Source organism: Homo sapiens, chromosome 2 (genome assembly GCF_000001405.40).
Source record: "Homo sapiens chromosome 2, GRCh38.p14 Primary Assembly".
Taxonomy (NCBI): domain Eukaryota; kingdom Metazoa; phylum Chordata; class Mammalia; order Primates; family Hominidae; genus Homo; species Homo sapiens.
Genome location: NC_000002.12, coordinates 36,594,546 through 36,614,802, shown reverse-complemented (window position 1 = coordinate 36,614,802; position 20,257 = coordinate 36,594,546). Strand labels below are relative to the sequence as shown.

Sequence of the window (20,257 nt, the reverse complement as noted above, 5' to 3'; positions counted from 1 at the left end):
GTAAATGTGCAAGATTATCGTCAAATTTGTTAAAACTGCTGTCAGGTTTCTTATATGAGCACTAAGATTTCAGGGCAATGCAAATGTTTTGTGCAGCAATTAGTCTTTAATATTCTCTGAACTGACAGCACTTTTTAATATGCATTGCATTGCCTCTCCTGGGGTTTTGTAAGTGCCTTGTGCAAGTAAGGGTCCCTTAAGCTTTTTTCCTTAGTTTCATGGGAAATCTACCTCTGCACCAGATCCTACATGGAGGCTCAACCTTTCCCCATTTTCTAAGACCAGCCAATGACCTGGAGAGGCCTGGCTATTTGTTAGAAGACCACCTAAATTCAGCCCTTTTCCTGCCTGCTGAGTCTCTGGGCTTTGCCTGCTTCTGAATCTCTTGTCACTGTGCTTTGCTCCACTGTGAGGCTAGAGAGCCCAGTGAGCCTGCTATAGGGAGCTACGGAGTCCTACACTCTTTTCTGAATATTTTGTTCTGCTAATGACTTGGATATAACTTCAGTACCTGTAGCAGAGCACCTCCACGCAACCCTCCAGGCTGATGGAATTCTAATGACAGGTCTGATTGCAAGTCCTCTACTCCCCCAGTGTGCCCACCCTGCTAGAGATGGTTGGTGAGGTCCTATCCAGCCTCATCACTAGGTATAACTGTAAGAGGAAGGCAGGAGTTTCCTTAGGAGAATAATAGGTGACTTATTCATCTTTTAGGATTCAGCTTGAGTTAGCCAGAAAAGACTACTTGGATGGGAGAGTTTCAAATGCCTTTCTAAATAGCAATGAAAATATTGGAGGAATTGGGAAAATGCTGTTCTAAACACATAAATGGCTCGAGTCCAACTCTCATGACATTCTCCAAAGTAGAGAAAGTCATTTGGGAGCAAATGAAGAAAATAAAAGAATGAAGAACTAGATGAGAAAGTAGAAAATAATTAAAATACTTATAGATAAGGAAAGAGAAATTGTATAGATAAATTTAAAGGAAAGTTGATAAAATAAGGGACGTATGTAGGAGGTTTGCGTAAGGAATAATATTTGAAGACTACAACTGGGCCAAATGAGTGAATACATGGATTTAAAAATTGTACAACAACATCTAGTGGTGTGTCTTGCCCATCATTTAAGGTAGCTATTTTCAAATTGTCAAAACAATCAATATGATAATTCAGTTGCCAAGCATAAAAAAGAAATTTCTGTGACTTAGAGAACTACAGAGGCTAATTACAAATTCCAAGGGTATAGGGAAAATACTATTATTCTATGAAACCAATTACAAGTAAATTTGATTTTTCAAAAATAATTTGGCACATGTATAACCACTATCATTTGCAAAATACAGTATGTATAAGTTATTAATTTTGTAGTCTTTCTTCACTCTTCTGACATTTTTGGAAGACGTCAATGCTGTATTTCCCTACAGTGATCTTTGATTAAAGAATTTAATTTCAAAGAAGTAAACATTGTTTATTTTATTAGACACTGGAGATGTGTCTCTGCTTCCAGGGTCATTTAACATTTATTATTAAACAGATATAGAAATCAATGCCTGTTTCATGGAGTATTAAAAGCACAGTCTTTTGCTAATGTCACCCTTTGCCTATGGGAGACTATTTTAATATCACTTTTAGATACAGAACAAACTTAGAAGCAAATCGATCCTCAAAACAATTCAGAGAAACAAACAAATTCCACTTTATAAATCATTCATAGGTAGGATACCACCCATAATAATAGAAGCTTACAGAGGTCTCTCCTTTGTTTAAATGCAAGAGTCTATCCATATGCTGTTGTTTCTCTATGCATTTTACTGGGAGAATTGGAGAGGTATCTTCAGTTCTCTGTACTATTTCTTGGGTGTTAATGACAAAGGAAATGCTCTCTAGTGCTTCCAAAATTTTGGTTGTTTTTACCCCATTCATGGAAGATTATTGAACTAAGGAGTAAAATCTTATCAGGAATGAGAGGCTAAAGGACCTATTTTTTTTTCCTATCAACAAATGCATAACACAGGTATCCCTATTTAGAGGGCTGGGAAGTTGAGGTTTGTGGCAAAGCAAACTTGAAAAGGAAATGAATAATTTAAAAATTGTTTTGACAAATAAAAATGATGATATATTACCATTAAACCAGGTGTTCAGCAAAGGAGAAAGAGTCCTTATTTGTCAAATACCAAAGCCCTACACTTGGCTGACTCAAATCAAAGCATCTCATAGCAAAAGATAACCTTGTTACCCTCAGCTTCTGAAGGTGAAGCAAAAGGCAGCATTACCTTGACCGTCTGTACTGCGCTTTATCTCAAACTTACTTTATTCCACAAAACTGGTGTCTTTGGTCCCCTGCGATTTCCAGTAGTTAATACCCTCAATCCATCACCCTTTCATGATGGGACCAGAGAGCTGGTAAATTTTTTCCCTTGATTTCTGACCTATGTAAGCAATTGCATTGCATCCAGATCACAGCCTGGAATTTTGGAGACATTTTCATTGAGATAGTTCTCATCTGTACTTCCATTCTCTAGTAACTATTTCTACTTGGCATTGATCTTGATTGGTGGTTTAAATGTAGATTAATTACTGCTATGGTGGTGCCAGGTGATCTCAAAGTTGAGTCTCATTGTATTGGAATAGCAAACGTCTTAAGCATTTATATTCTCATGAACTGATATTTATCAGGACACTGCTATCGTTTTTGAAAGAAAATGAAAGGGCTCTGTGCATGGTGAGGCAGGGGGTGGGAACCATCTCGGAGAGATGAAAATTGAGGGCTGCAATGGTGTCTGTCCAAGGTGGTTAGAGCTAAAATTTGAAAGGGTTGAATTTGCTACAGTACACTAAGGCTAAAGCTCCCTTTCTCCTCCCATCCTCATCTTCAAACATGAACTGTCCCATTTCCCTTCCACACTCCTGGCTGTCGTCTTTGGCTGGAGTCCATGGCTTTTCAGTGACTTTCACATATAAGAACAGTCTTACTATTAGGTATGAAGAAGTCTGATTCAATGTAAATCACAACCTCTATCTTATATTTGTGTTAGCCTCCCGGCCTGCTCAGACCTGACCTGGGAACTGGTTTGTGCTTTCACTTTTCTCCATCACATCCTCCCCCACTCTGCATCCTCTCTTCCTGTTACGTTGGGGTGGTCTCCTGGTGGGGCCTCCTCAACCCTGCTAACCCTTTTCGTGGGACCTTTTCAAGGTGACTCAAGTCTAGCTCTCCTCAGGGCTGTCTTTCCACTTGGCCCCAGGGAAAACCATGTATCCTTGCCCAACAGATGGTGTAAGCATGGGCTGCTCACTCTGTAGACCTCTTTCTCAGCACTGTCATCATGGGAAGCTCCCCAGCCTCATGCCTTCAGAGTTCTTTAGGCAAGAGTTTGCCTCAGTTTTTAACTTCCCATGTGTCTCCAAACTCCAGGGGACTTCAATCAGGATCTCCCAGGAACTCGCTCATGGTGTCCCACTCTGGGCTCACAGGGGCAGCAGTGTCCAGGTCCTTCATCTAAGTATCCAACCAGCTGGGGAGAAAGACACTGTTTATTGATCCTTCTTGCGAGATTGGCCCACACTCTGCTCCTCAGGAAGCCCTCACAATTGGCTTGAGTAGGAAGCACCCCAGGCCCTCCCTCCTAATCTGGCTGACAGTTCTGCATCTCAACGACTCGAATTCTTCTTTAGAATTTCTAGTTTTCTCACCTGTAGGTGGGTCATAGGGTAGGCAGAAAGCTCTGGTTCTGCTCTCACTAGTAAGTCACCCAGTTAACGGCCAGTTGCTGTTATTTCTAGGAGAGAGCAATATTCAAGACGACAAAGAAGCCAGAAGGAAGAACAGAATCATATCTGTCCCATCTCTGTGGAGACTCCCAGGAACCACTGGGATGACTATGGATGGTGTATCAGTCTGTGAGAGCTCCCATCACAAAATATCACAGACTGGACAGCTGAAGCAAAATAAATTCATGTCCTCACAGTTCCGGAGGCTAGAAGTCTAAGACGAAGGTGTCAGCTGGGTTGGTTTCTGCTGAGGCGTCTCTCCTCGGCCCGCACATGGTCGTCATCTCACTGTGTCCTCGCGTGGTCTCTCCTCTGTGTGAGTGCATCCATGCTGTTTTCTTATGTGTCCAAATTTCCTCTAGATACCAGTCAGACTGGATTAGGGCACACCCTTAACAAATTTTCTTTTCTCTCTTTTTTCTTTTTATTTTTAATTTGAGACAGTCTCACTCTGTCGCCCATGCCGGAGGGCAATGGTGTGATCTTGGCTCACTGCAACTTCCACCTCCTGGGTTCAAGTGATTCTCCTGCCTCAGCCTCGCGAGTAGCTGGGATTACAGGCTCAAGCCACCATGCCCAGCTAATATATATACATATACATATAATATTTTTAGTAGAGACAGCATTTCATCATGTTGGCCAGGCTGGTCTCAAACTCCTGACCTCAAGTGAGTGATCCGCCCGCCTCGGCCTCCCAAAGTGCAGGGATTATAGGGATTATAGGTGTGAGCCACTGTGTCTAGCCAAAAATTCTTCATTTTAACTCAATTACATCTATGAAGACTTTATCTCTAAATACAGTCATACTCTGAGGTGCTGGGGCTTACAGCTTCAACTATGGATTTTGAGGGGACACAGTTTAGCTCATAACAAAAGGAGAAGGCTGAGGCTGAGTTTAGCTGGCCCATCTGGGTAGATGCAGTCTGGAGAGCGCTTGCTGTCTCCCGTGCTCACTTACCCACAGACCTGCGTACATCAACAGCACAATGTAGGCACTTGGGGTACCAGGAGTCTTGCATTTCCATGGCTGGGGGTGAATGAGATACTGAAATTCAGGCACTGGTGGTAATTCAGTTCATCACAAATCCCAGTTTGGTGAGACTCACAGACATCCGGGGTATGCACTAATCCAGTTTTCCAAAGAGCAAATCAATCCTCCGGAGTTACAAAGTTACTGTCTCTGTCTTTGCAACATGGAATGAAACTAACATTTCTTTCTTTAAACAATAAGAACAAGGAATTAACAAATCTCCTATGCTAAACCCTTTAATACCAGATTAGAAACAACTAGCTTACTTTTATGTCTGCCCTAGTCAAATCAGGCAGAAAATTGAGCAATTACATGTCTGTTTGCTTAAATTATGTAAACAATTATCTTAATAGGCTACTTTGTTTTGTTTCTGTAGACCAACACCCATCTGACTTAAGTGGGATTTTTATTTAGCTACATAACATTTTGATTAAGCTATTTTGATGAGCAATATTGGTGCAGCTCTTTTGCTGTCAAGACATTTTGATCACACTTAAAAAGAGAAGAAAAAATCCTACTAAACTTACAGCTTAAAAAAATTAAAATGTTTAATGTAAAATAGACATCCTCACCTTTAGTCCCACTTCATCCCTACCTTGTTTACAATGAAGTTTTCCTTTTTTAAAGACAGGAAATTTTAATATGTTTGAATATAAAAACTTAGAGGAAAGAATACAAATGAAAAACAAAGACCTAAGAAAATAAAATTCCAAAGGAATAGGACAGTTTAACAGTCATCCTTTTTTTTTTTTTTTTTTTTTTTTTTTTTTGAGGTCAGTCTCGCTGTTGCCCAGACTGGAGTGCAGTGGTGTGATCTCTGCTCACTGCAACCTCTGCCTCCCGGGTTCAAATGATTCTTGTGCCTCAGCCTCCTGAGTAGCTGGGACTACAAGCATGAGCCATTATGCCCCGCTAATTTTTGTATTTTTAGTAGAGATGCGGTTTTGCCATGATTGACCAGGCTGGTCTCGAGCTCCAGGCCTCAAGTAATCCGCCTGCCTCGGTCTCCCAAAGTGCTGGATTACCGGCATGAGCTACTGCGCCTGGCCTAATGCTCATTCTTATACTACCCTTAGTGCAAATTTTGGCAGACTCATCTGGCTGATTTTGTGGAATATTGCTGGATAGTATGGTTCCCTTGCCCCAACACTTGAAACTAAGGAAAATTTGGGACAAGTACTCTTATAAGAAATTTATATTAATAAGTATGCCAGAAAATAAAACATAACGCTACCCAAATATAATTCAAGTCTCCTTGTTTCTTTTCAGCTGCAAATGCCTCTGAATTGTCTATGTCAATTTCTCTCTATAAACCTGTTGGTGCCTCTTTTGATGCCACCTAGTCTCCAGATGTGCCCTGTTACTCTATTACGGTGTCACCTACTGACAGTCACTGTGCTCATTGTAACTTTTTTCTGCTTTTTTTCTCACTGGTTTTCCCCCAATTCAGTGGGAAGTGGACTTATTCCTGTTTTCTTGAAGGTTCACAGCTTTTTCTCTTTTCTTCATCTTTTTTTTTTTTCTTTCCTGTACGGGCCAGAGAAAGATTTCCCATTTCCACTGATTTTTTTCTTCTTCTCAAATTAGTGCCTCAAATGCCTCCCTGAAAACTCAAGTCCACCAATGACAATAGTCTATTTTATTAATTTTGTATTACTTTCCAGTGAAGTTAATTTATATAACTGTAGTATAAAATACAGATTTCATCAAGAGGCAAAATAGGAGGGATGGTAAACAAATTATAATGTCAGATAAACAACTACTGCCAATGGTTGTTTCCATTTATTTTTAAGACACCAGCATTTGATTACTCAGAACACAAGCAGGCATGCACTTGGCAGTTTTCCCTACCCAGCTATTGAGGTGCCTTGTAAGGGTGCAGCCGTGGCCAGTCACCTTGGTTCCTTCTCTTGGAGCCTACTACTGCTTCTTCTCAAGGTGGTTTTGCCTGATCAGGACGCTGGCTTAATCATTAAAATGGAAGGTATGGCTGTTCACTGAAGATTTATCTCTATCGAACTTGAATGAACTGGAATGAAATATTCATTAATAAATTCTAGATTGTGGTCTTTGTCTCCTCAACAGTTTCTTGATTTTTGTGTTTTAAGAGACAGGGTCTTGCTTTGTCACCCAGGCTGAAGTGTAGTGGTGCCATCATAGCTCATTGTAATGAACTCCTGGGCTCAAGTGATCCTCCTGCCTCAGCCTCCCAAGTAATTTGGACTACAGGCACATGCCACTGTGTCTGGTTAATTTGATTTTTTTTTCTTACTGGAGAAAAAGTGAAGAGAAGCTGCTCTTTCCTTTTTGGCAAGCAAGCAACCTTTCCTTAAATTATTGGGTCACCATATAGATTTTTAAATTATTTTTACTTTTGTGTCATCAGCTGTTTTTTTTCTTCTAGTTATAAATGATATCAGCAATTACCTTAGATCTTCTCAATAAACTTTCATTTACATACATTCTCATTATTTTACTGTTGCTTTATAATGCCTCTGGCCTTTGCTAAATATGATACTTTAACAACCAGATATTTTTTGGTTTTCTATTCAACAGTGTCTTTTGCAGTTCTTATATTTTCTGACTGATTATACTTTTAGGTAGTGCTATGGTTTGAACGTGTCCCCTAAAGTTTATGTGTTGGAAACTTCATCCCCAATGCAACAGTTTTGAGAGATGGGACCTTTGAGAGGTGTTTGGATCACGGGGACAATGCCCTCATCAATGAATTAATAGCATTATCCCAGAAGTGGGTTAGTTATGGCAGAAGCAGATTTCTGATAAATGGATCAGTCTGACTTTCCTTCTCTCCCTGCTCTCTCACACTCTCTTGCCCTTCCACCTTCTGCCTTGAGATGACACAACATGAAAGCTCTCACCGGATGTCAGCACCATAATCTTGGACTTCCTCACCTCCAGAACTGTGAGAAATCAATTTCTTTATAAATTACTCAGTCTGTGGTATTCTGTTATAGCAACACAAAATGGGCCAAGACAGGTGACCTATATGTTGAATAACTTATTTTTAAATTTTTTGTCATATAAACTTCCACTCTGATATATATGCGCAAAATTTATGTACATTGTCAAACCAGAAAAGTAACCTTTTAAACCTTAAATGATTAATATGCATATAATGCTCAAGTGCTATGAAGCTCTCTTTAAAAGTTCTTCTATATTCTCTTTCTAATTTTGAATCAAGGGCTGAAAATTAATTCAATAGGCTAGCTTTTCTTAATATATCAAGTGAGCAAGCATGTTTACACATGTTCATTTTCTTATGGCCTTCAGGAGTTGGTAGGAAATAAAAGGTCCAAAATAAATAGATTTTCGCGGACAAATTAGTAGAAGTAGGTTATGTGAGATATAACAAAGTGAAAGAACCTCTTCTTAATTGGAAGCTTTTGGGTATTGATGGACTGATCAAAACAGGTGAGGCTGGCAAGAAGCCTGTGGTTTTTCTAGATTTGTGGCAGTGTAGGAAGCTAGAATTTGGCTGATGGGTATGAGAGTTGCTGGGAAATGAGCTAAGCTTGCTGTCAGGAATTATTAAGAGAAGGGGTTTACAAAACAGTAACTTGGAGCCGGATTCTCTTAAAGAAGTCTGGGCCCAGTACCAAAGGAACTAAAGGAAAAGGCGGGGATAAGGGAATGGGGCCACGACCTGAGTGGAACATGGTCTCTCCTCCTGTAGGATGATCTGGAAGGCTGTGGAGCAACCTGAAGTCCCCAGATAAACATGGGAAGGAGAGATGTGTGGTAGGCACTGCAGAGAAACATTGCTACTTTATAATTTTATCTGGTTACAAACATTTAAACGGTTTAAATTTACAAGTATTTAAACAGTTTTCTGCTGTTACGTGTTTATGTTTACAGTTAACTATTTAAAATCTACCAAAGCACCAATTAACAATTTATTCCACTCTACAGTTTCTTTCTAATCTAATTGCTCTGTCCCTATGAAGTGGCAAAACTATAGAGAAATATAGTGTTTTCTCACAGACATATCTATTTGGAGCATTCTTATGGATAGCGTTGAGTGCCAAGGTTACCATGAGTGTGCAAACATAAGTTGACCAAGAAAAGTGATTTTCATCTTGTTTTCCCAAAGGGATATTCAAAATGCATAGGGTAATATCAAGTAATTTATATTTAATTAAAAGTAAAAAGCATCCTGTGTAAGAAATTTGACTAAAATAAAATTGTAATACCATTGGAGCTAAACCAGTGGCAATTTATTTAAGAACATCTGGAAATTTTGACAGTGCTACATTTGGGTTCTAAGAGCAATCATTTTCACTCATATGTGGACACATTATAACAGGTAAATGGAAATATGAGTCAAGAAAAATAAATGAATTTTATCTTAGCCATGTACATAATTTAGAGAGTCTGCATCAACTAGATAGTTTCCTCATAACTTTGTGTCTGTAGTCAAACACCTGGAGAAAAATAGCTCTTTGATACTTTGGAGCATCACTTTTGAGTAATGTTCAGATAGCTGAGTCAGAATGTTTTCTCATCAATCCAAAAGCTATTGTTCACTGTTGACTAATTAGTTCTAGCTCTTGGCTAACTGGGGATCAACATCCACTCCCTTTATGGTTTCAAAGGAAATAGGGAACAACATTTCTTTTAATTAAACAGTATCTTAGGGTTAATCACAGAACTATTTCATTTGATATGGGACAAATCACTAAAGTAAAACACAACATTTATTGGACTAGTAAACAAGAAAATGTTGGTATTAACATGTATTCATGAAAATGTGTTTCCATGCTGCCAAGAGATGGACAAAGCATATTGGGAAAAATTTATTCTCTATTACTAACTTCAGATTTATTTTTCAAACTATGAGCTCATCTTTCATCACCTAACCAGCTCCACCTTCTAAGTGAAGTATTTGATCATGCCAGTCCAGAGATGTCACTCTTCTCAACTCCTGAGCATTCGTTGCCTCTACACATTCGTATTTCCTTATGATAATATTTACTTTTTCCTCCCTTTAAAAAAATATTTTTTTGGCCAGGTACGGTGGCTTACGCCTGTAATCCCAGCACTTTGGGAGGCTGAGGCAGGCGGATCACGAGGTCAGGAGATCGAGACCATCCTGGCTAACGCGGTGAAACCCCGTCTCCAGTAAAAATACAAGAAATTAGCCGGGCGTGGTGGCGGGCGCCTGTAGTCTCAGCTACTTGGGAGGCTGAGATTATAGGCGTGTGCCATCATGTTTGGCTAGTTTCATGCGCGTCCGTGTGAAGAGACCACCAAACAGGCTTTGTGTGAGCAACACGGCTGTTTATTTCACCTGGATGCAGGTGGGCTGAGTCCGAAAAGAGAGTCAGCAAAGGGAGATGGATTATCATTAGTTCTTATAGGTTTTGGGTCAGGCGGTGAAGTTAAGAGCAATGTTTTGCGGGCAGGGGTGGATCTCACAAAGTACATTCTCAAGGGTGGGGAGAATTACAAAGAACCTTCTTAAGGGTGGGGGAGATTACAAAGTACATTGATCAGTTAGGGTGGGGCAGGAACAAATCACAATGGCGGAATGTCATCAGTTAAGGCTATTTTTACTTCTTTTGTGGATCTTCAGTTACTTCGGGCCATCTGGGTGTATACGTGCAAGTCACAGGGGATGCGATGGCTTGGCTTGGGCTCAGAGGCCTGACATTCCTGCCTTCTTATATTAATAAGAAAAATAAAACAAAATAGTGTTGAAGTGTTGGGGCAGCGAAAATTTTGGGGGGGTGGTATGGAGAGAGAATGGGCGATGTTTCTCAGGGCTGCTTCAAGTGGGATTAGGGGTGGCGTGGGAACCTAGAGTGGGAGAGATTAAGCTGAAGGGAGGTCTTGTGGTAAGGGGTGGTATTGTGGGGATGTAAGAAGAAACATTTGTCATATAGAATGATTGGTGATGGGCTGGATACGGTTTTGTATGAATTGAGAAACTAAATGGAATAAGAGAAGGAGAAAAACAGGTATAAAAGGTCTAAGAATTGGGAGGGCCTAGGACATCTGATTAGAGAGTGCCTAAGGAGATTCAGCATAGTCCTGCCAGCAAAGATTATTTATTTACTTCAAGAGTTTAGAGTGGCAGTTTGGGGATAGCACCAGGAGATATCAGCTGTGATGGCTTGGAGAAACAGCGTAAACCGGCAGTGTAAACAAGAGCAGGGCATGTATGAGTAGTTGAGAACGGTGAATAGGAGTATGACTAGACAAAAGATAGTACGGATGACAAGTTTTTTTGGGGCACAGTCTAAGTTGGTCTGGTGTCGAATGAGACTGGGGCCTAATAAAAAGGAGTGTCTATACAGGAGCTTAAATGGGCTGTGCCCTGTAGCATTTTGAGGACAGGTCTGACTTCTGAGAAGCGAAAGTGGTAAAAGTATTGTCCAGTCCTTTTTAAGTTGGTGGCTGAGCTTGGTGAGGTGTGTTTTTAAAAGACCTTTTGTCCATTCTAATTTTCTTGAAGACAGAGGACCATAAGGGATATAAAGATTTCACTGAATACTAAGAGCCTGAAAAACTGCTTGGCTAATTTGACTAATAAAGGCTAGTCTGTTATCAGACTGTATAGAGGTGGGAAGGCTAAACTGAGGAATTATGTCTGACAGAAGGGAAGAAATGACTGTGGTGTCCTTCTCAGACCCTGTAGGAAAGGCCTCTACTTATTCAGTGAAAGTGTCTATTTAGACTAAGAGGTATTTTAGTTTCCTGACTCGGGACATGTTGAGTAAAGCTAATTTGCCAGTCCTGGGTCGGGGCAAATCCTCGAGCTTGATGTGTAGGGAAGAGAGGGGGCCTGAATAATCCCTGAGGAGTAGTAGAATAGCAGATGGAACACTGAGAAGTTATTTCCTTGAGGATAGATTTCCATGATGGAAAGGAAATGAGAGGTTCTGAGAGGCGGGGTAGTGGTTTGTACTATAGCATAGCCTGCCTTTGCTGGTGTGTGGCGATTAGGCCTGGTGGAACTGCCATCAATAAATCAAGTGTGATCGGGGTGAGGAACAGGAAAGAAGGAAATACGGGGAAATGGGGTGAATATCAGGTGGATCAGAGAGATACAGTCATGGGGGTCAGGTGTGGTATCAGGAATAATGTGGGAGGCCGGATTGAAGTCCGGGCCAGGAACAATGGTAATTGTGGGACTTAACAAAGAGTGAGTACAGCTGAAGGAGCCGGGGAGCAGAAAGTATATGCGTCAGGTGTGAGAAGAAAATAGATTTTGGAAGTTATGAGAAATGTAGAGAATGAGTTGAGCATAGTTTGTGATTTTTAGGGCCTCTAACAGTATTAAAGCAGCGGCAGCCACTGCATGCAGACATGAGGGCTAGGCTAAAACAGTAAGGTCAAGTTGTTTGGACAGAAAGGCTACCCGGTGTGGTCCTGGCTCTTGTGTAAGAATTCTGACCGCACTAACCATGCCTAGGAAGGAAAGGAGTTGTTCTTTAGTAAGGGATTGAGGTTTGGGAGATTAATCGGACACGATCAGCAGGGAGAGCACGTGTGTTTTTACGAGAATTATGCCGAGATAGGTAACAGATGAGGATGAAATTTGGGCTTGACTGAAGTAATGGGGGCTGTCTGTGAAGCCTTGCGGCAGTACAGCCCAGTCAATTTGCTGAGCCTAATGGGTGTCAGGGTCAGTCTAAGTGAAGGCAAAGAGAGGCTGGGATGAAGCGTGCAAAGGAATAGTAAAGAAAGCATGTTTGAGATCCAGAACAGAATAATGGGTAGTAGAGGGAGGTATTGAGGATAGGAGAGTATATGGGTTTGGCACCACGGGGTGGATAGGCAAAACAATTTGGTTGATAAGGTGCAGATTCTGAACTAACCTGTAAGCCTTGTCTCGTTTTAGGAGAGGTAAAATGGGGGAATGGTAAGGAGAGTTTATAGGTTTTAGAAGCCCATGCTGTAGCAGGCGAGTGGTAACAGGCTTTAATCCTTTTAAAGCATGCTGTGGGATGGGATATTGGCGTTGAGTGGGGTAAAGGTGATTAGATTTTAATGGGATGGTAATGGGCATGAGATCGGTTGCCAGGGAAGGAGTAGAGATGTCCCATACTTGTGGGTTAAGGTGGGGGGATATGAGAGGAAGACACGAAGGAGGCTTTGGGTTGGGGAGAAGGGCGGCAATGAGATGTGGCTGTAGTCCAGGAATAGTCAGGGAAGCAGATAATTTGGTTAAAATATCTCGGCCTAATAAGGGAACTGGGCAGGTGGGGATAACTAACAAAGAGTGCATAAAAGAGTGTTGTCCAAGTTGGCACGAGAGTTGGGGAGTTTTAAGAGGTTTAGAAGCCTGGCCGTCAATACCCACAACAGTTATGGAAGCAAGGGAAACAGGCCCTTGAAAAGAAGGTAATGTGGAGCAGGTAGCCTCCGTATTGATTAAGAAGGGACGGACTTAACCTCCACTGTGAGAGTTACCCGAAGCTTGGCATCCGTGATGGTCTAGGGGGCTTCCGAGGCGATTGGGCAGTGTCAGTCTTCAGCCGCTAAGCTGAGAAGATCTGGGAAGGAGTCAGAGAGCCTTGGGCCAGAGTTCCAGGGGCTCTGGAAGTGGCTACCAGGTGAGTTGAACAGTCCGATTTTTCAGTGGGGTCCCGCACAGATGGGACACGGCTTAGGAGGAATCCTGGGCTGTGGGCATTCCTTGGCCTGGTGGCCAGATTTCTGGCACTTGTAGTAAGCTCCTGGGGGAGGAGGTTCTGGAGGAACCCCTGGCCGCTGCGGTTCGGGCGTTTGGAAGTTCTTGTGTGCTGGAGATGTGGCTGGGGTTTGTCTCACAGTGGAGGCAAGGAATTGCAACTTTATTCTATTATCGTACACCTTGAAGGTGAGGTTAATTAAGTCCTGTTGTGGGGTTTGAGTGCCAGATTCTAATTTTTGGAGTTTTATTTAATGTTGGGAGCAGATTGGGTAATAAAATGTATATTGAGAATAAGACGGCCTTTTGACCTTTTAGGGTCTAGGGCTGTAAAGCGTCTCAGAGTTGCTGCCAAACGAGCCATGAACTGGGCTGGATTTTTATATTTGATGAAAAAGAGCCTAAATGCTATCTGATTTGGGATAAAGAAAAAGGAGCATTAACCTTGACTATGCCTTTAGCTCTAGCCATCTTTTTAAGAGTAAATTGCTGGGCAGGTGGGGAAGAGCTAGTCGCGGAACTAAACTGTAAGCCAGACCAGGTGTGAGGAGGGGAGGTGATAGAAGGATTATAGGGTGGAGGAGTTGGGGCTGAGGAAGAATTGGGACTTAGCTCGGCCTGGCGACGAGCAGCCTGGGGAGGAGGGGAAAGGTCAGATGGGTCTGTAGAAAAGGAAGACTGGAAAAACTCAGCGACGCTTGGGGTTGGGACTGAGGGGATAGGCAGGAGGGAAAGGAGGATCTGGGAGGAATCGCATTGGGAACAGAGGCTAGGGAGGGAGTGAAGTGTGAAAAATGCCTGGACGTAAGGCACCTCAGACCATTTGCCCATTTTTCTACAAAAATTATTTAGGTCTTGTAGGATGGAGAAATCGAAAGTGCCCTTTTCTGGCCATTTAGAGCCATTGTCAAGTTTGTATTGGGGCCAAGTGGTGTTGCAGAAGAAAATAATGCATTTAGGTTTTAGGTCAGGTGTGAGTTGAAGAGGTTTTAAGTTCTTGAGGACAGGCTAAGCGAGAAGGAGGAGGAATGGAGGATGGAAGGTTGCCCATAGTGAAGGAGGTAAACCCAGAGAAAAGAGAGCGTAGAGACATGGAGGGAAGGGGTTCGGGGTTGTTACCCTCCAGAAAAGCGGGAAGGGGGGTTGGGGCACGGAAATAAGGGATTGGGGCACAGAGATAAGAGATTGGGGTGTGGAAATAAGGGATTGGGGGTTCTTGCCACCTAGAAAAGCGGGACTTGCCGCTAAGGGTGAAGGAGAAGGGGTTGAGGGGTTCTTGCCCCTGCCCCAGAAAAATCACAGAAGGGGTAGAGACAAGGAGAGAAGGGGTTGGGGTACTCGCCCCTTCCTCAGAAAAGCGGGACTTGCCGCTAAGGGTGAAGGACCAAGGCAGGCGTCCCTGCGTGGTCTGACACCTTTGAAACGTGGGTGAATAATCAGAGGCGTCCCTGCAATGATTAAACACCAAGGGAAGGCTGCCTTCCCAGCCCGTGACCGGCGCCGGAGTTTTGGGTCCACGGATAAAACGTGTCTCCCTTGTCTCTACCAGAAAATGAAAGGAACTGAAATTAAGAGAAGGGAGAGATTGAAGTGCGGCGCCAAGATTGAAAGGAGAAAGAGGTTGAGGGATAGTGAGGGAAGCTGGAGAAGACAGTAAAAAGAGGCCGCTTACTGGATTTGAAATTGGTGAGATGTTTTTTGGGCTGGTCGGTCTGAGGACCTGAGGTCGTAGGTGGATCTTTCTCATGGAGCAAAGAGCAGGAGGACAGGGGGATTGATCTCCCAAGGGAGGTCCCCCGATCCGAGTCACGGCACCAAATTTCATGTGCGTCCGTGTGAAGAGACCACCAAACAGGCTTTGTGTGAGCAACACGGCTGTTTATTTCACCTGGATGCAGGCGGGCTGAGTCCGAAAAGAGAGTCAGCGAAGGGAGATGGATTATCATTAGTTCTTACAGGTTTTGGGTCAGGCGGTGAAGTTAAGAGCAATGTTTTGCGGGCAGGGGTGGATCTCACAAAGTACATTCTCAAGGGTGGGGAGAATTACAAAGAAACTTCTTAAGGGTGGGGGAGATTACAAAGTACATTGATCAGTTAGGGTGGGGCAGGAACAAATCACAATGGTGGAATGTCATCCTTAAGGCTATTTTTACTTCTTTTGTGGATCTTCAGTTACTTCAGGCCATCTGGGTGTATATGTGCAAGTCACGGGATGCGATGGCTTGGCTTGGGCTCAGAGGCCTGACAGCTAGATTTTGTATTTTTAGTAGAGACGGGGTTTTACCATGTTGGCCAGGTTGGTCTTGAACTCCTGACCTCAAGCGATCCGTCCACCTGGGCCTGCCAAAGTGCTGGGATTATAGATGTGAGCCACCTCGCCTGGCCTACTCCAATTTTTTTGTATTGTAGTAAAATAAACATAAAATTACTATCTTAACCATCTGTAAGTGTATAGATCAGTGGCATTCAGCACATTAACACTGTCGTGGAACCATCACCACCATCCATCTCCATAACTCTTTTCATCTTGCAAAACTGAACCGCCCAATCACACTTAGTTTTTATGAGGTCTAAACAATTTCTTGTTACTCTTATCACTCCGACATTGTAAGCCCTGTGTATGGGGCACCCATGTATTAGTTATAACATACACATAGGGTATCTACTATTAGGCATTGCTCTAAGTGCTTTGCAAATGTTAACTGGCATAATTATCTTTGTATGTTCTGCAGGATCTAGCCAGTGCTTTGCACGTGAGAGGTAAAATATTTGAGGAATGAACTTCGGTACCACCTAAACATTTCCCATTGACTCTGGCTGTTATTCTGGTTGGCAAGTTAGGAAAGGAGCAGGTTACCTTGGGGAAAACGACTTTCGGGGCGTAATCTGATATTAGGTCGTAAGTTTAAAGAAGTCCTTTATTTTAGCCACATTTAGGCCAAGTTGCTAATAAGGGAAGCTAACAGGGAAGTTATTCCTAAATGATAGAGAATATAGGAAGTGACTCAAGGCAGTTAAGGTCTTGGCTTTCTAGTAGCACCGCGTTCAACTCCAGGAAGACTCAGGCCACCGGAGACCCAGGGTTGGGACAGCCTGGGATCTGTCAGCACGGTAGCGGGCGGGGGCGGGGCTTCGGGCCGGGGCGGGGCCGGGCTGGGCGGGCTGGGCCGGCCTGGGCGGGGCGCGCGACTGCTCCGGGCGGCGATGGCGGCGGACGGGGACTGGCAGGATTTCTATGAGTTCCAGGAGCCGGCCCGGAGCCTCCTGGACCAGGAGAACTGTAACGCGAGCCCCGAGCCTGGGGCGGAGGCGGGGGCCGAGGCGGGTGGGGGCGCCGACGGTTTCCCGGCCCCGGCCTGCAGCTTGGAGGAGAAGCTGAGCCTGTGCTTCCGCCCCTCGGATCCGGGCGCCGAGCCCCCGAGGACGGCCGTGCGGCCCATCACGGAGCGCAGCCTCCTGCAGGGGGACGAGTGAGTGCGGGGCCCCGGCCGGGAGTGGGCGGGAGCCTCCCCTACCCCTCGCCCGACCGGCAGCCCTACGGCCGCAGCTCCTCCCTGCGCCCTCCTTCCGCCCGGACGCGGGAGTCCCCGCCCTCTCGCCTCCTTCCTCCGGCCGTCGGCCTCGGCTCGCCCAGCAATTTAAATCCCCTGCCCCCCGCCGCCACGAGCCCTGAAAACCTCCGCCTCGGTACCTCCCGCCCTCCTTCCTGCAAACCAAACCCTCGTTTGTATTAGAAGGGAATCGCCCATGCAGAGCCCATAGTTAGAGACGGCACCTCCTGGGGCACCTCCTGGGGCACGTGTGTCGCCATTCATTCACTCAAGTCGCATTTATTAAGCACCTGCTGAGTGCCAGGCGCTGCTTCGCACAGGGAACACCAAAACGACTGGGCACTGTCCCTCCCACTTAGGACACAACGTAGGATGGGAGATAGATTTGTAAACAAATACATGTATGGATGTAATTAGCGCTGCAATGGTTATATGTACCAAATGTGAGAGACTTAAAAGCGTGTGTCTTGGGGAGAGTAAGGAACGACTTTATAAAGAAATGTGCAAACGAGATCTGACTGATGAGTGGGAGTGTGCCTGGCAGGTGGAAAAAAGTCTAACGTTCTAGGTGGAGTATATTGCCTGTGCATAAGTACCAACGTGCGAGGCAGCATTTAGGGCACAGGAATCTGTGGGACCCACCCGGGAGCCCTGGTAGAGTGCGAGCCGCCACAGAGACGAAAACGAAGGGCCCTGCTTACTGATGGTAACGATCGCATGGTCTGGTGGGGAGACCAAGGCATACACAAGTAATATTAATAATTACAGAATCACCTAAGAGCAATGATAGGAGGTTCACGGGGTTTTATCACAGCTGGGAGAGGTGAGGCGCAGAGTTCCTGAGGGCACTTTTTAAACCACCTGAGCCGCAATTATAATTTGGTTAAGTAAGAGTTGTAATTAGGTACCATGGTTTTACCCCCAAAAGATGGTAAATAGGAATGGTGAGAGTAAAGGGACTTGAGCATGTTGTGTATATAGGGGGAGAGGAGCCTCCGGAGAGGCTGAAGGTAAAATGAGTGGAATAAGATTGGGCGCGGTGGCTCACACCTGTGATCCCAGCACTTTGAGAGGCTGTGGTGGGAGGATGGCTTGCTTCCAGCAGTTCGAGACCAGACTGGGCAATATCGTGAAATCTGGTCTTTACAAAAAAATTAAAAAAAAATTAGTGAAGTCCGGTGGCGCATGCCCGTGGTCCCACGGACCCAGCTGCCCGGAGGCTGAGATGGCAGGATTGCTTGAGTCCTGGAGGCGAAGGTTGCAGTGAGCCATCATCGCACAACTGCACTCCAGCCTGGGTGTCAGAGCGAGACTTTGTCTCAAAAATGAGGACATGGGAAGGAATGGATTTTCAGAGCATTGATGGGATGGAGAGACTCTTAGAGGTTAGGGAAGAATTTTTGAGAGACAGGACAGGAGTCACGGGCACGGAAAGGAGTTTCCAGCCTGATTGTCTCCTTTCCTTTGTGAAACAAACAGATTTATCAGGAATAAGGTAGGAAGCTTGTAAAGACAGCCTTGGGAGTGGGGCCTGTAAACATGGCTGAGCAGTGGTGCAGGCCCACCTGTGTTTGGAGACCATCTCCTTTTATTGGTTCCTCAGTACAGTGTTCTGCCCAGGTGTAGAGAAGGGAAACACTTATAATTGGATTTTATACACACATGCATGCCGTCAGTAGCAAAAGATGACATTTTTGGAAGCCTGTTCCCAAAGAGAAGATAATTTTATGTATATGTAGATTTAGATACTCTGAATCACTAAACCCAGGACACATTCTGGATTTAAAAATTAGTGTAGATGTATTATGTATTTGGGTTTTTCAAGAGTAGCTGACTTAAATCAATTAGAGGATTGTACGTAGATCGTTAAGAGTTTTTGTTTCACTTAGACCGTCAGGAGAGTAGGTTATTTTAGCCTTTGCTTAAAAATATTTTGTCGCTCTTGTTAATGGTATTTAGTAGATGATATGTTGGTGGTAATGCATGTCTCTTGACTTGGGAATGCATATGAAATCTCTTTTTTTCCGGGAGTTGGGAGCTGGTCATCACTGGCATTGTCCCTTTTATATTGCAAAAACATACTCATCATTGCTTGATAGTCTGTTCCAGTTCCCTTTTCACTAGATATAATTGATAATTGTTTTACTCAGATATTGCTGTGCTTTAGGTCAAGGGGTCCCCAACCCCTGGTCCACAGACCGGTACTGGAACTGGGCCACACTACAGGAGGTGAGTGGCTGAGTGAGTGAGCAAAGCCTCATCTGTATTTACAGCTCCTCCCCATTGCTTGCATTACCACCTGAGCCACCTCCTGTCAGATCAGCCACGGCATTAGATTCTCATAGGAGCGTGAACCCTATTGTGAACTGCACAAGTGAGGGTTCTAGTTTGCAGACACCTTATGAGAATCTAATGCTTGATGATCTGTCACTGTTTCCCCTCTCCCCCAGATAGGACCATCTAGTTGCAGGAAAACAAGCTCAGGGCTCCCATTGATTCTACGTTATGGTGAGTTGTAAAATTATTTCATGATATATGACAGTGTAATAATAGAAATAAAGTACACCGTAAATGTAATGTGCTTGAATCACCCCAAAGCCCTCCCCGACCCTTGGCACTTCATTTAACTTCTCTGAGCCTCAGCTTTTGTTTTGGTTAAATATGGATTGTATTTACGTACTGAGGTTTTACTTATAAGAGTATTCTGCAGGATTCGATGTTGGCAGGACTTTGACCTCCTTGCAAAAGAGCTGTCCTGACCGTTGTTTACGACTGGTTGTAATACTTGGTGATAAAGATGAAGGCAGTTCATATGTCTTGACTGCAGAATTCTAGAAATCTTTCACTAGAGTTGCCTCTGTGTCCTTCCAACTACCATTGTTTTGACCTTGGTGGAGACTGTTAGTTGGCTTTCATTTTCTTGGAAGATCAAACTCACTGACAGGCACTTCTAAGTGAAATATTCCATCCCATTTGCCTTTTTCTTATAGCCTTGTTTAAGAAGGAGCAAATCAGCAGACAAAGCAAACTCCTCAAATTCTGGACTGTCTTCACCTGCTAGTGTATCCTGCTTAAATTCCTGCCAGGATTAGGTCTATAGTCAGTGATACGGTTTGGCTGTGTCCCCACCCAAATCTCAACTTGAATTGTATCTCCCAGAATTCCCACGTGTTGTGGGAGGGATCCAGGGGGAGGTAATTGAATCATGGGGGCTGGTCTTTCCTATGCTATTCTCATGATAGTGAATAAG

At 43.9% G+C, this 20,257-nt stretch overlaps 1 protein-coding gene across 3 annotated transcripts in view, besides 5 other annotated features; it reads left to right on the top strand.

The window, feature by feature from the left end:
• Positions 13,787-14,712: an enhancer, noted in NCBI's record as "H3K27ac hESC enhancer chr2:36827234-36828159 (GRCh37/hg19 assembly coordinates)". NCBI's record gives its function as "activates a minimal SCP1, AML or CMV promoter by ChIP-STARR-seq in naive H9 embryonic stem cells {active_cell/tissue: H9 hESC(naive)}" and the evidence as "EXISTENCE:reporter gene assay evidence [ECO:0000049][PMID:30033119]".
• Positions 15,640-16,566: an enhancer, noted in NCBI's record as "H3K27ac hESC enhancer chr2:36825380-36826306 (GRCh37/hg19 assembly coordinates)". NCBI's record gives its function as "activates a minimal SCP1, AML or CMV promoter by ChIP-STARR-seq in primed H9 embryonic stem cells {active_cell/tissue: H9 hESC(primed)}" and the evidence as "EXISTENCE:reporter gene assay evidence [ECO:0000049][PMID:30033119]".
• Positions 16,567-16,786: a silencer, noted in NCBI's record as "silent region_11351". NCBI's record gives its function as "represses an Ori minimal core promoter by ATAC-STARR-seq in GM12878 lymphoblastoid cells {active_cell/tissue: GM12878}" and the evidence as "EXISTENCE:reporter gene assay evidence [ECO:0000049][PMID:35858748]".
• Positions 16,567-17,494: an enhancer, noted in NCBI's record as "H3K27ac hESC enhancer chr2:36824452-36825379 (GRCh37/hg19 assembly coordinates)". NCBI's record gives its function as "activates a minimal SCP1, AML or CMV promoter by ChIP-STARR-seq in primed H9 embryonic stem cells {active_cell/tissue: H9 hESC(primed)}" and the evidence as "EXISTENCE:reporter gene assay evidence [ECO:0000049][PMID:30033119]".
• The window catches only part of FEZ2 (fasciculation and elongation protein zeta 2), a 45,911-nt gene continuing 42,288 nt past the window's right edge, over positions 16,635-20,257 (top strand). For all 3 annotated transcript variants that reach the window (XR_244972.4, NM_005102.3, NM_001042548.2), the window contains exon 1: positions 16,635-16,926. Coding sequence is in view for 2 of the 3 variants with exons in the window: in NM_005102.3 (NP_005093.2) it covers positions 16,661-16,926 (266 nt within the window). In the remaining variant the exon portion in view is untranslated. The remainder of the gene's footprint in view (positions 16,927-20,257) is intronic.
• Positions 16,827-17,186: a silencer, noted in NCBI's record as "silent region_11350". NCBI's record gives its function as "represses an Ori minimal core promoter by ATAC-STARR-seq in GM12878 lymphoblastoid cells {active_cell/tissue: GM12878}" and the evidence as "EXISTENCE:reporter gene assay evidence [ECO:0000049][PMID:35858748]".